Source organism: Homo sapiens, chromosome 3, assembly GCF_000001405.40.
Source record: "Homo sapiens chromosome 3, GRCh38.p14 Primary Assembly".
Classification (NCBI taxonomy): domain Eukaryota; kingdom Metazoa; phylum Chordata; class Mammalia; order Primates; family Hominidae; genus Homo; species Homo sapiens.
Window position 1 is genome coordinate 84,909,047 of NC_000003.12, and position 15,974 is coordinate 84,925,020.

Below are 15,974 nucleotides of genomic sequence, written 5' to 3' on the forward strand. Positions count from 1 at the left end.
AAGAAGAAGAAGAAGAAGAAGAAGAAGAAGAAGAAGAAGAAGAAGAAAAAGAAGAAGAAGAAGATTTCTATGAAATACGTTTTGTTTTGCTGTTTCAGTCCGTAATCTATTCTTCTAGAATTGAAACCTACATGCACCACCTGATTTAAAAAGTGGGTCTGAGATCAGTGTCATACCTTATGATCCTCTTTTTCCACAATCATAGCTTATTGTTTCAAATGTGACCCTCTGGCCCATGGAAAGTTATTTAAATGTATCTCATTTGGGAAGTCGAACTAAATAGTACTAACATACTGATTTAGTAAATTGTAGCTAATATCTCACTGGTGGCAAAATACCACAGTGAACATCTAAGAATTTCTTGGGCTGAAACCTTCATAATTGCCCTGGATTCCACTTTTCCTGAGGCTTGCTGTGTGTGGTTCTTTACAATAATTTTCCTTTATTTTTTGAGCTGTTGACACTACTGCCTTAAGAGCAAATGCAACCTAATAAAAACAGTCAACTCTTGGCATAGTTTTGCCTGTAAAATTAAACAGTCTTAATTTATTATTTCTGTAATCCTTAGTGGCATTTATCGGATTAGGATTGAAATATCAAAAGCAGTTATAAGCACTGGTATTCCTTGGAATGAAAAATAAGAAAATATATAATTTTATGTAATTTTATGTGTACATGTGTGTTTGTGTGTGTGTTTAATGTTTTTATGCTACCTGATATTTGTGGATCTTAATGTAATAAGAATCTCTGATCATCTCTTGTGCAATATGGGATGCTGGTGGTCTCTGGAGTGTCACGACAAAAGTTACATCAACTGGCGGTGACCATAAATGAAGTGCCTATGAAAGACAATGCCTCAAGACACCAAATAACTGCTGCCCTAGATTGCTGGGGGAGGAATGATGACTATAGATACACTAGATTTTTCTGACTATACTGGAACATTAACAACAACAATAAAATGACAAGTTTAGTCCTTTAAATACTTAGTTAAAGGCACAGTCAGAGACCATGTTTCTGTGGTTTATCAGAAAGCATGTTTTATCTCTTATTTTAAAAATTCTGTTTCTGAAACCAGATCTAAAGTTTGATTCTGCATAACAGATTTACAACCAAGTTAAATTCAGGTCTGCTCCAGATGTTTCAGTAATAGGGAAATAGCAATAACCTGAATATCATACTGAGGACATTTGAGAGGATTTGTATGAACATGAGTATGCTGAATACCTAAATTCAATGATCCTACCTTACCCATTTTTTTCTTCTGCATGAGGAGGCTACAATCCTTTCATTTGAAGATCCTGTACTTTCCTCACTTGAAGCAGTCACTCTTCTTCATGATATTCATTTCATCCCTTCTTGTTACTTCCAAAACTGTAATTAGAGTTAGATTTCATCATGGCTGAAGGAAATGGGCCCAAAGTCTACTTGGAAGAGATAGCATTTGCACCAAAAGTGCAAGGTTTTGACACTTCATATCAAGCAGAATATGGGGGAATATGTGTGTAAATAAATACTTAAAGTGGAAAAGCTATTAGGAAAGAAAAATGCATAGTATTCCATGGTGCATATGTGCCACATTTTCTTAATCCAGTCTATCATTGTTGGACATTTGGGTTGGTTCCAAGTCTTTGCTATTGTGAATAGTGCCTCAATAAACATACCTGTGCATGTGTCTTTATAGCAGCATGATTTATAATCCTTTGGGTATATACCCAGTAATGGGATGGCTGGGTCAAATGGTATTTTTAGTCCTTGAGGAATTGCCACACTGACTTCCACAATGGTTGAACTAGTTTACAGTCCCACCAACAGTGTAAAAGTGTTCCTATTTCTCCACATCCTCTCCAGCACCTGTTGTTTCCTGACTTTTTAATGATCGCCATTCTAACTGGTGTGAAATGGTATCTCTTTGTGGTTTTGATTTGCATTTCTCTGATGGCCAGTGATGATGAGCATTTTTTCATCTGTTTTCTGGCTGCATAAATGTCTTCTTTTGAGAAGTGTGTGTTCATATCCTTCACCCACTTTTTGATGATGTTGTTTGTTTTTTTCTTGCAGGGACATGGATGAAGCTGGAAACCATCATTCACAGCAAACTATCGCAAGGACAGAAAACCAAACACTGCATGTTCTCACTCATAGGTGTAAATTGAACAGTGAGAACACATGGACACAGGAAGAGGAACATCACACACCGGGGACTGTTTTGGCGTGTGGGGAGGGGGGAGGGATAGCATTAGGAGATATACCTAATGCTAAATGAGGAGTTAATGGGTACAGCACACCAACATGGCATATGTATACATATGTAACAAACCTGCACGTTGTGCACATGTACCCTAAAACTTAAAGTATAATAATAAAATAATAAGTAATAAATAATAAAATAAAATTAAATTTTAAAAAAAAGAAGTTAAGAGCTGGGATTCTCACAATATGGCTTGCAGACTACAAGTGTGAACTGAGGAGGTCCCCAAAGTCACTTCTTACTAAGGTAATATTTTCTTTGTTTTTTTTTAGAGAGAGGGTCTTGCTCTGTCACCCAGGCTGGAGTGCAGTGTTGCAATCATAGCTCACTGCAGCCTCTACCTCTTTGGTACTAGTCATCCTCCCACCTCAGCCTCCCCAGTAGCTAAGAGTATAGGTGTACACAAAGTAATGCTTTATTAAATGTTTTATTGCCTTTTTATTCTAAAAGCTATACTTGATCAATATAGAAAATATAAAATAATAAAAACTACAGAAGAAACAAAATTTATCAACAATTACCAACTAAAAATAATGACTTAGACATTTCATCACTCTTGCAATATTTCCATTAATAGCTATTTATCTAGTGGATGGAATATTTTCCATGTTATTTCCTAATTAGTCATGTCTAATGTAAAAGGAAGTTCTTGAAATCCATCTAATATATCGATCCTTTGATTATTTTTTCAATAATTTTAATTAATTCATTTGCACTTTCAAAGCATATTATCTTTTTCTGAAAATTATTTTCTGTCTATTGTATACAACATTTCTGTTTCATATCTTATGCATTGGTTGTAACCTCTAGAACAATGTCAAATAAAAATTATAATACATGACATTTTTAACTGATTTTAATGGAAGTACAGGTAGATATTTTGCTCTTTGGTTTGAGATGTTCTATGTTATCTGAAAAAAATCTCATTCTTAGTTTCTAAGGAACTTATTACAGGAATGGTTGTTATACTTACTATATGTCTAAAAAAAGAAAAAGAAAAGAAAAATGCATTTAAAGTGGCTGAATGTGAAAGTATGAACACACTAACTAGGGATTCTGGAATAAATGTATTAATTGGCTTATTGTGCTTGATTGGATAATCAAAATCCAACCTAAATGGTATCCTATGTTAAAGGAATTTGAGTTAGTGTAACTTTCTTAATGTTCATAAACAAATGCCAAAGCTAAAAAATATAGGGATGTTTAAATGGGTTTATTATTTCTGTTATCTCTTGGAAGATCCTCAGAGGACATTCCTGTCATGAAAGCATTGAAAATATTTTTGTGAGGGAAGTACCAGCGCCCTTGAAGCACTCTGCATTCTCTGCATTGGATGTATTCATGAGGCATGGATTAACTAATGAGGACTGGGCTCCTTGATGTTAATAGGCATACCAGTATCCCACTGTAGACAAAGCCAAATTATAGCACTTAACAGCCACTGATTTAACAACCAATATGGTTACTGAAATGGACAGCGGTACTGAAATAGCAATATTAATAATTTTCACATTGGGTATCTTTGGAAGTAGCAAATTGATCATAAAGACTCTAGAACTGAAAAAGATGAACCAATATACCAACATGTTATGTAATGTTTAGAAAAAAAATCATAAAATCCTCTATCTGGAGACTTTATTTGAGTGGTCATGGTGGAGAATAGCAAAATGAATAAATAAATAATTTTAATTACTAACCTATTTCATAAGAATTCCATAGGTTGCTATTTTTGTTGGTGTCTATAACAAAATAAGACTGAAGTGCTAGCTTATGATTCAATACATCCAACAGTACATACAATATCTGTACAAATTCATACAGGGAATAAAAACCTGGCAAACATCTAGGTTTGGGAGCAAAGCCATGTCTTTTTCTACAAATAACAACTCCTTAAGAAAAAAAAAAAAAAAAAAAAAACATCAACTTTGCTATGAAACCCACAGTAGAGATTTGATGGGCTATCTTACCTAGTAACCATACGGTCTGAGCTCTCCAACATGATTACAATTAGCTATTATCCGATCCATAAAGCCCTACAGTTGGGCTGTTATAGATTCTGATACCACAAATAGTTTTATGATCAAATATTTCAGACTCTCATGAGATCTATTTTGCCTGAATTTCCACCTCTTCTTCAGTCCATATCCAATGGCCTCATAGGGGATTTCATAAAAAACAATTGACTGGTAAAGAAAAAAACAACCATTCTGATAGGAATTGGCTTATGGGGTTATGGAGGCTGCTGTGGACCAAATGTTTGTGCCCCAACCCCTACATTTATATCTTGAAACTCCAAACCCCAGTGTAATCCTATTTGGTGGTAGGGCCTTTGAAATGTAATAAAAATTTGATTAGATTCTGAGGGTGGAATCCTCATGATGGGATTAACACCCTTATAAAAGAGAAGTAGATGAGCGCTCTCTCTCTGTCTCTCTCTCTCCCCTTCTCCCTTTCTCTCTCTCTTTTTCTCCTCCTCTCCCTCTATCTCTCTCTCTCTTTCTCTCTCCTTCTGTATCCCCCTTCCCCACCCCACCCCCTTTCTCAGCATGCATTCATCAAAGAAGGCCACGTGATGACATAATTAGGAATAAAGAGGGCTGCCGCCAAGAACCCAACCATTCTGGAACCTTAATCTAGAACTTCCAGCTTTCAGAGTTGTGAGAAATAAATATTTCTTGTTTAAGCCACCTAATCTATAGTATTATGTTATAGCAACCTAAACTGATTGAGAGGGAGACTCAGAAGTCTCAAATTTGCAGTCAGCAAGCTGGAGAACCAGGAGAGCCAATGATGTAAGTTTTGGTCCTTTAGCCCATGAATATGCAAGCTCAAGAGCCAAGAAGAGCTGAGTTTTAGTTCAAGTCCAAAGGCAAGAAAAGCAGATGTTTCAGCTTAAGTAGTCAGGCGGGAGGAGTTCCCTCTTAAACGTGGGAGGATGAGCCTTTTTGTTCTCTTCTGGCCTTCAACTGATTAGATGAGGGCCACCTACATTAAGGAGGACAATCTGCTTTACTTATTCTACCAATTCAAATGTTAGTCTCATTCAAAACACCATTAAAGACATGCTCAGAATAAGGTTAGGCCAAATAGTTTGGCATCCTGCTGTCCAGTCAAGTTCACACATAAAATTGGCCATCATAAACATAAAATATAACAGCGAAGTCCCCTTGGGGGCAGAACCTTGAGTATGGCATCTGTTTGTTCACTTCATTTGAGAAACAAATTGCCCAGAGGTTCCAATAATTCATTTGAACCTTAATTCATCCATACTAACAATCAGATGTGTTGATTAATAATTTATGCGGATGACAAATACCTTAGAAACTGTACAATTATAAGGCTGGGAAAAAGTTTAGTGTAGATTAAGGAGAAAACTCAAGAACTGGCAAAGTAGGTAAATATATATAGTATCTGTGTATATATTTTCAAAAACAAATGCTGTGAAAGAAATCTGCAATAATCACATAGTAAGATTTCTCATTCAGTGAATGTCCACCAACCTCTTTACCTGTTACCTTTAGCTTATTCAGTGGAATCATTAGCAAACTGAGAATGAATGCTGGTATAGAAGTGGTGTAGCCTCAAGTCCATAAACTTCTCCTCACCAAGGTAAATCTGGCTACCTCCACTGCTTAATGACTAAAATGCCCATAGCAAGAACCAAAGAGAAGCCCTTCATATGGTATATATTCCTGAAGGAAAATATAGCAGTAAATTCTGGTGTCAGTTTAATAAACTTTTAGTTTTCAGTCACAGGGGTGGCAGCAATTTGTCCCCACCGGTATCGCCACTTCTCCGTCTGCAATGTTTGGACCTCATTCTCATCTATGAATTCACAAAATGAATGATTTGCTGCCCTGATAACCTATGTCGCTTATGTACAGCAAGGTAGTAAAGCAATAGATTCATTCTCAGGGGAATCACTCACATCACTATGTACCCCATCATCCTGAAGAAGTGAGCATAGCCAGGCACAGTGGCTCACACTTGTAATCCCAGCACATTTGGAGGCCAAGGCAGGTGGATTACCTCGGGTCAAGAGTTCAAGACCAATCTGACCAATATGGTGAAACCCCATCTCTACTAAAAATACAAAAAATAGTCAGACATCAAGGCATGTGCCTGTGGTCTCAGCTACTTGGGAGGCTGAGACAGGAGAATTGCTTGAACCCAGGAGGTAGAGGTTGCAGTAAGCTGAGATCGTGCCACTGCACTTCAGCAGCCTGGGTGATAAAGCAACATTCCTTAAAAAAAAAAAAAAAAAGAAGAAGTGATGAGGCTAATAATATAGTGGGACAGCTTATAGAAGACTTAAATATGACATTTTGCATATAATAACACTTGGTGGGTTTGGAGAAATGTTCTACAAATTTTAGTTTATGCTCTGATGACAAAAAAAAGGTACCTGTTTCTCTTCTAGCCAAAAAAAGAAAAAAAAGATTGGGAAATGGATTGTTGAAAATGAGAATGACTTATTTTATTATAACCCTGAAAACTTCCCTCCAAAATTTTAAAATTCCCATTCCTATAATTTACTGTGTTGATGATTTCTTGATCTATGTTCCTAAGGAAAAAAAAAAAGAAACTTTTACAAGGGCACAATGACCATTTCAATGAACTGGAAATTGGGAAAACTACCTCACCATTATGGGTTCCTAATACAACAGAACCAATAGGTAAAAGAAGATGTATTAAATGTTTGCAGTCATAATTCTAATTCTAATTCATAAAGAAGCAGCAGGATTTCTGTTAATCAATAGAGTCTGAAAGGGTTACGTTTTTAAACCAGTGGTTTCTCTGAGGTGTCTTTCAATATTTCCATATCTAGTGATAAACAACAATAAATGACAACAATCAAATATAGGCAAGATCAAACACTTTGGGAATAAAAAATTAAGTCCCCATACTAAGCAATGTGTTGTAAATTTGGGGGGAGTTAATTGTGGACAAATGGAACATGAAATGGAATGGAAAGTAAAAGAAAAGAGTTTTAAGTACTAACTAATATCCTGTCTATGCAGGTAATTGCTGGGAGACTCCTGGTCAGGCTTGCCAAACTCCATTCCATATTAGATTCTAAAAAGGCCCTGAATTTCAGTTCCATCTCCTTACAATGGCAGTCTGGGAGCAATCTTGCCCACATAGAGATATGCTAGGAGTCTTGCCCACCAGTGACATGGGCTCGGCTTGCCAATTCTGGTCCCACAGAAAATTCTGAAATAACCCAGACGCTCAGTTTTAGCCATCTTTCAACTGTGATCTGAGAGTAGGTTTGCCCAGGAAGAATCCTACTTTGAGATATGCCTGTCTGAGTTCCTGTGGAAGGCTTGGCAATTTGTCCCACAGCAGATCCTCAAATGCCCTGGATCTCAGGCCCAGTCCCTCTTGTTTGTAGACTTAGAGCAGTTCTGTCCACCTGGAGACCCAGAAGGGGGCATGTCCCACAGTGCTCTGCAGGCTGACACACTGACCTCAGTCCCACTGTGAATCCTAAAGTGGCCCTGGAAATTGGCTCTATCAATCACTTCTCAACTGCAGTATGAAAGCAGGCCTGCTCACTCGGAAAACTGCTGGGAGACACCCTATTAATGGCCTCAGAGACAGGCCTAAAGATTTCGGTCTCAGCTGTGGCCTCATATAAACTCGTGCCTCAGTTCCAGCTCATTTTAGCCATCAACTTGAAAAGTACAGCCAGCCCAAGGATTCATCCAGTGATATAACAGGAGCCCTTCCAGAGACCTGGTGAAAACCACATCCATCATGCATGTGGTAACAGACCTGCCATTTGCAAACCCTGAAATGAGACTTAATTATAGCACAGATCCATAGACCAAAGGACTGGAGAAAGTCCAGTCTACCCAGGGACCAGATAGGACCCACATGCAATAGAGCCCCTGGTAACAGACCTGCTCACTGCATTCTCCATTGCAGATGCAGCATCAGCCATGAGACCCAGATGCAATCCCACTTAACTGCTATCCCACAGGCAATCCCATCAGCCCAGAGACCAAACAGATTATTTTCCCTTGCTGAAACCAGTCTGTAAACAATGAAAGAAGGGTTTGCTACTTCCAGTATACAGACACCAATGCAAGACTGCATGGATAACAAAGAATCAAGCACACATATTACCACCAAAGAAAACCAATAAAGCTTCAATAACCAACTCCAAAGAAATGAAGATATACGAATTGCCAGGAAAAAAATTCAGAATAATCATCTTGAAGCTCAGTGAGATGCAACAATATATAGACAACTAAATAAAATTAGAAAATAATGCATTAACAAAATAAGAAGTTTAATAATTAAATAGAAACAACTCCCCACCCCCAAGAAAAAAACAGAAGAATCTCTGGAGCTGAGAAAAATCAATGACAGAACTGAAAAACTCAACAGACAATTTCAACAGCAGACTCAACCATGTGGAAGAAAGAATTAGTGAACTCAAAACAGGTCATTTGAAATTAGCCAATTACAGGAACAAAAAGAAAAATATATATAAAAAGAATAATAAAAACATATGGGCCTACAGAACATAACAAAATGTGCAAGTATATAAATTATGGTAGTACCAGAAAGAGAAGAGAAATAGAAAGGGGAAGAAAGCTTATTCTAAGAAATATTGCCTGAGAACTTCTAAAATTTTGGAAATGATGTGGACATGCAGATTCGGGAGGTCCAAAGCATGGTAAGCAAGATCAAATCAAAAAAAGAACACTCCAAGACACATTATAATCCAATTGCCAAAAGTCAAAGAGGATTTCAAAAGAGCAAGAGAGAAGAAACTTGTCACATGTAAAGAATCTTTCATAAGGCCATCAGCAGATTTTCAACAGAAATCTTTCAAGCCAAGAGAAAATGGGATGACATATTCAAAGTGCTAAAGGAAAAAAAGAGAAGCCAAACAGAAAAATTATCCTTTGCAAAACTGTCCTTTTGAAATGAAGGGGAGAATCGCCTGAACCTGGAAGGCAGAGGTTGCAGTAAACTGAGATCGTGCTGCTGCACTCCAGCCTGGGCAACAGAGTGAGACTCTCAAAAAAAAAAAAAAATGCTGTCTGGGAAGAACAGCATGGGAAGAAACCATGTGACCTAAGATTAAGAAACAGCTGTAGGGCTCAATGTTGCCCAGGCTGGAGTGCAGTGGCGTGATCTCAGCTAGCTACAACCTCCACCTCCCAGCCGCCTGCCTTGGCCTCCCAAAGTGCCGAGATTGCAGCCTCTGCCCGGCCACCATCCCGTCTGGGAAGTGAGGAGTGTCTCTGCCTGGCTGCCCATCGTCTGGGATGTGAGGAGCCCCTCTGCCCGTCTGCCCAGTCTGGGAAGTGAGGAGCGCCTCTTCCCGGCCGCCATCCCGTCTAGGAAGTGAGGAGCGTCTCTGCCCGGCCGCCTGTCGTCTGAGTGGGGAGCGCCTCTGCCCCGCAGCCCCGTCTGGGATGTGAGGAGCGTCTCTGCCCAGCCGCGACCCCGTCTGGGAGGTGAGGAGAGTCTCTTACCGGCCGCCCCGTCTGAGAAGTGAGGAGCCCCTCCACCCGGCAGCCGCCCCGTCCAGGAAGTGAGGAGCATCTCCGCCTGGCAGCCGCCCCGTCCGGGAGGAAGGTAGGGGGTCAGCCCCCGCCCGGTCGCCGCCCCGTCCGGGAGGTAGGGGGCGCCTCTGCCCAGCCACCCCTTCTGGGAAGTGAGGAGCCCCTCTGCCCGGCCACCACCCCGTCAGGGAGGTGTACCCAACAGCTCATTGAGAACAGGCCATGATGACGATGGCGGTTTTGTGGAATAGAAAAGGAGGAAAGGTGGGGAAAAGATAGAGAAATCAGATTGTTGCTGTGTCTGTGTACAAAGAAGTAGACATAGGAGACTCCATTTTGTTCTGTACTGGGAGAGGTTCTTCTGCCTTGGGATGCTGTTGATCTGTGACCCTGCCCCCAACCCTGTGCTCTCTGGGGCATGTGCTGTGTCCACTCAGGGTTGAATGAATTAAGGGCGGTGCAACATGTGCTTTGTTAAACAGATGCTTGAAGGCAGCATGCTCCTTAAGAGTCATCACCACTCCCTAATCTCAAATACTCAGGGACACAAACACTGCGGAAGGCCGCAGGGTCCTCTGCCTAGGAAAACCAGAGACCTTTGTTCCCTTGTTTATCTGCTAACCTTCCCTCCACTATTGTCCTGTGACCCTGCCAAATCCCCCTCTGAGAGAAACACCCAAGAATAATCAATTAAAAAAAAAAAAAAAAAGCGAGAAAAAAAGAAACAGCTGTAGGAACTGAAAGTGTTTAGCTCAGATGTGACTAAGGGGTATCAATTGGTGTCTTCAAGTATTGTGGCTCTCGTAGATAAGAGAATGAAAAACACAAAAAAGAAAAAAGAAAAAAGTTTTAAAAAGAGAGAATGAAGTAATTTAATTACACTAGAGCCTAGGTGCAATGAGAAGTTAGCCAGCAGGCAAATTTAAATAAATACTGAAGGGCTGGGCGCTGTGGCTCAGGTCTGTAATCCCAGCACTTTGGGAGGCCAAGGTGGGTGGATCAATTGAGGTCAGTTTGAGACCAGCCTGGCCAACATGGTGAAACCCCGTCTCTACTAAAAATACAAAAATTAGCCGGGTGTGATGGTGGGCGCCTGTGGTCCCAGCTACTCGGGAGGCTAAGGCAGGAGAATCACTTGAACTCAGGAGGTGGAGGCTACAGTGAGCCAAGATCACACCACTGCACTCTAGCCTGGACAGCAGAGCAAGACTCCATCTCAGAAATAGAAAATACAAAATAAATAAATATTGAAAACAAAAAACAAAACAAAACAAAGAAATGAAGGGGAGGTTAAAAAAATTCAAAACAAGCAAAAAACTGAAGGAGTTCATCACCATGAAACTACTCTTATGAGAAATGCTAAAGGAAGTTTTCACATTAAAACAAAATAATGATAAGCAACAATATGAAGCATATGAAAGTATAAAACTCACTGGCAAAGGTAAATATATAGTCAAATTCAGAATACTCTAATATTATAAAGGTAGTCTGTAAATCACTCTTTTGTGTAAGAGTTAAAAACAAAATTCATTTTTTAAAAAAGCTATGATTGATTAACAGATACAAAATATACATCCATAGCATGATATTAATAGCATAAAATGTTAAAGTAAAATACAACATCAATAGCATAGCCTGTGGAGGAAAAGAATTAAAAGTGCAGTGTCTTGTATGCAATTGAAGTTAAGTCACTGTCAGCTTAAATTAGGGTATTATAATATGACGGTGTTTTATGTAAGTCTCAGGGTAGCCATAAAGCAAAAACTTCAGCAGGGTGTGGTGGCTCATGCCTGTAACCCCAGCACTTTGGGAGGCTGAGACGGGAGGATCACAAGGTCAGGAGTTTGAGACCAGCCTGACCAATATGGTGAAACCCCATCTCTACTTAAAATACAAAAATTAGCCAGGCATGGTGCATGTGCCTGTAATCCCAGCTACTCAGGAAGCTGAGGCAGGACAATCACATGAACCCGGGTGGCAGAGGTTGCAATGAGCTGAGATAGTGCCACTGCATTCCAGCCTGAGCGACAGAATGAGGCACTGTCTCAAAAAAAAACAAAAACAAAAACAAAACAAAAACTACTAAATACACAAAATACAGAGAGAAAGAAATAAATTATACCACTACAAGATTAAAACAAATCATAAACAAATACAGCCAGAGTGAAATAAAGGAACAAAATAATTTCAAAACATTTAGTCTAAATGTAAATGGATTAAATTCTCAATTTAAAAGCCACAGAGAAGATGAATGGATTAAAAAAAATTAAAAAATGAAAAACCAAAGATCTATCAAAACACTGCCTACAACAGACTCACGTTAGCCATTAGAACAAACATAAGGCCAGATTCAGTGACTTATACCTATAACTCTAGCATTTGGAGACACTGAGAGAGGAGGATTGCTTGAGGCCAGGAGTTGAGACTAGTGTGGGCAACATAGCAAGACCCTATCTCTACAAAAAAAAATTTAAGTTAGCCAGCCATGGTTGTGCATGCCGATAGTCCCCACTACTCAGGAGACAGAGGCAAGAGGATAGCTTGATCCCAGAAGTTTGAGGCTACAGTGAGTTCTAAACATGCTACTGAACTCCAGCCTGGACAATATAGCAAGATCCTGTCTCTTTAAAAAATTTGTTCTAACAATAAACATAGATTGAGAGTGAAGGTAAGGAAAACATATTTTAGGCAAATGATAATCAAAAGCGAGCAGGCGTGGCTACACTTAGACAAAATCGACTTAAAGTCAGAAACAGTAAACAGAGACAAGGAAAGTCAACATATAATGATAAAGGGGTCAATTTAGCAAGAGGATATAAGAGTTTTTAATATATATGCACCTACATCAGAGCACCTATACATATAAAGCAAATACTAATAGATCTGAAGGGTTAGATAGACTGCAATATAATAATATTATATATAGATAGAATACATGATAGAATACATCAAGAAGAAATAGAAATCTAAACAGACCATAGTAGGAGACTTCAGTACTCCACATTCAACATTGCGTAGATCATCCAGACAGAGAATCATTGGAAAAATAGTGGAACTGAATAACACTTTGGATGTAGACCTAATTGACATACATAGAATATTCCATCCAACTGAAACAGAATACATCTTTTTTTAACGACACATGGAATATTTTCCGCAATAGATTATACATTAGGCCACAAAACAAGTCTTAACACATGTAAGAAGATTAAGATCATACCAAGTATTTTTTTCTGACTCTAATGGAATGAAAATAGAAATCAGTAACAGGAGAAATATTAGAAAGTTTACAAATATACGGAAATAAAACAACATGCTTCTGCAACACCAAAGGTGAAAGAAGAAATTGAAAGGGACATCAAAAAATCCTGAGACAAACAAAAGTAAAAACACAACATACTAAAACTTTGGAGATGCAGCAATAGCAGTTCTGAGAAGGAAGTATACAGCAATAAATGCCTACATAAAAAAAGAAGAGAAACCAAATAAGCGATTTAATAGTACACCTCCAGGAACTATAAAAGAAAGATAAATTATACTCAAAATCATTAGAAAGAAGGAGCGCATAAAGATTAATGAAATAGGGAGTAGAAAAACAATAGAAATATCAACAATAAAAAGAAATGGTTTTTTGAAAAGATAAACATAATTGACAAAACATTAGCCAGATTAACTACAAAAAGAGAGAAGACTCAAGTAAATAAAATCAGAAATGAAATAGGAGAAATTACTACTGATATCACAAAATTACAAAGGATCATGAGTGACCATTATGAATGATTATACACCCACAGATTGGGTAAACTAGAAGTGGATAAATTCCTATAAACGTATAACTTAGTAAGAATACATTAAGAAGAAATAGAAATCTAAACAGACCAATAATTAGTAAAGAGATTAAATCAATAATAATAATAAACAATTCTCATCAAAGAAAAGCTTAGGACCAGATGGCTTCATGGTAGAATTTTACCAAACATTTAAAGACTAATTCATAGCAATCCTTCTCAAACACTTCCAAAAAATTGAAGAAGAAAGAATATGTCCAAACTAATTTTACAAGGTCAGCATTACGCCTAATACCAAAGCCAGATAAGAATGCTACAACAACAGAAAATTACAGGATAATATACTTGTTGAACGTAGATGCAAACATTCTTGACAAAATACTGGCAAATTAAATTCGACAGCACATTAAAAGTATCATTTGCCATAATCAAGTGTAATTTATCTTTAGGATGCAGGGAAGTTTCAACATATGCAAATCAATAAATGTGATACATCATATTAACAAAATGAAGGACAAAAACCTTATTATTACCTGAATAGATGTAGAAAAAGCATTTGACAAAATTCAACATTATTTCATAATAAAACCTCTGAACAAATGAGTCAAGAAGAATGGGAATTTTATTCAAAATAGTATTGGAAGTTCGAGATAGTGCAATTAGACAAGAAAAAGGGGAAAAAGGAATCCAAAGGGGAAGAACAAAGTGAAATTTTCTCTATTTGCTGATGACATGTTCTTGTACACACAAAACCCTAAAAGGCCAACAATATCTGGTACAATTCATAAAAGAATAGAGTAAAGTTGCAGGACTTAAAATCAAGCTGCAAAATTCAGAATTTATTTATACTATCAATGTGCTATCTGGAAAAGAAATTAAAGAATCAGTCTCATTCACAACATTTTAAAAGAACTCTTAGTAGTAAAATTTAACCAAGGAGTGGAAGATCTGTATACTGAAATCTGCAAACAATAAAGAAATGGAAGAAGACACAATCCAATGGAAAGGCGAAATTCCATGATCACAAATTGAGATAATGAATATTGTTAAAATGTCCATACTACTCCAAATAATCTACAGATTCAATACAATTTCTATCAAAATTCCAATGCTTCCTTTTATGGAAATAGAAACAACCATCCCCAAACTCATATGGAACCACAAAAGACCCTGAATACACAAAATAATCATGAGCAAAAAGAACAAAGCTGAAAGCATCACACTACCTTACTTCAAAATCCATTACAAAGCTATAGTAATCAAAATAGCATGGTGTTGTCATAAAAACAGACACATTGACCAATGGTTAATTAAATAATACATCTTTACAGTTGAAAGGAATAGCTTCAAGAGATCTACTGTACAGTATGATGATGTTATAGTTAATAATGACATACTGTATTATCAAAAAATGCTAAGACAGTGGATGTTAAGTGTTCTTATCACAAAGATGATAATTATGTGAGATAGCGCATTTGATAATTAGGTCGATGTAATCATTCCACAATGTGTAAATATTGCAAAACATCATGTTGTATGCTATAAATACATTGTTTATGTCAGTTTTAAAATGAATAAATTTGAGGAAAAAAAACACCAGACACATTGGCCAATGGAACATAATAGAGAGCTCAGATATAAACTCACACATTTATGGTTAATTGATTTTTTATAAAATGCCAAGAACATATAATAGAAAAAGGACAGACTTCAATAGATAGCATTGAGAAAACTGGATACCCACACACAAAAAAACGAAATTAGACCCACATCTCTCACCATATACAAAATCAACTAAAATGGATTAAAGACTTACACATAAGATCTGAAACTGTAATAGTACTGGAAGTAAATAGAGGGGAAATATTCCAGGACATTTGCCTAGGCAAGTATTTCTTGGATATTACCTCAGAAACACAGTGAAAAAAAAGCAAGAAAACAAACAACCCAATTAAAAAATGAACACAGAACCTAACTAGACATTTCTCAAAAGAAGATACACAGATGGTCAACAGGTTTATGGAAAAAATGCTCATCATCGCTCATCATAATGAAAATGCAAATTAAAACCACAATGAGATAAGATCCCATACACATTACAATGGCTATTATCAAAACAATAATACATGTTGATTAGGGTGTGGAGAAAAGGGAATCCTTGTACATTGTAAGCAAGGATGTAAATTAATATAATTATTATGGAAAACAATATGAAGTATTCTAAGAAAACTAAAAATATTATTACCATATGAACCTGCAATCTTATTTCTGGGTATATATCCAAAGGGACTAACATCCATATGCTAAGAAGATATATGCACTACCATGTTCATTACATTATTCACAATAGCTAAGCTAAGGAATCAACCTAAGTGTCCATCATCATATGGATGGATTTTTAAGGTGATA

The 15,974-nt window shown here is 37.4% G+C and overlaps 1 long non-coding RNA gene across 1 annotated transcript; it reads right to left on the reverse strand.

Moving 5' to 3' along the window:
- Positions 1-1,251: 1,251 nt before the first annotated feature.
- Positions 1,252-9,788, reverse strand: LOC105377193 (uncharacterized). Its single transcript, XR_002959699.1, has 2 exons — positions 9,748-9,788; positions 1,252-1,374 (listed from the first exon to the last, which is right to left on the reverse strand). It is a non-coding gene; the product is annotated as an uncharacterized LOC105377193 (long non-coding RNA).
- Between the last annotated feature and the right edge of the window lie 6,186 nt (positions 9,789-15,974).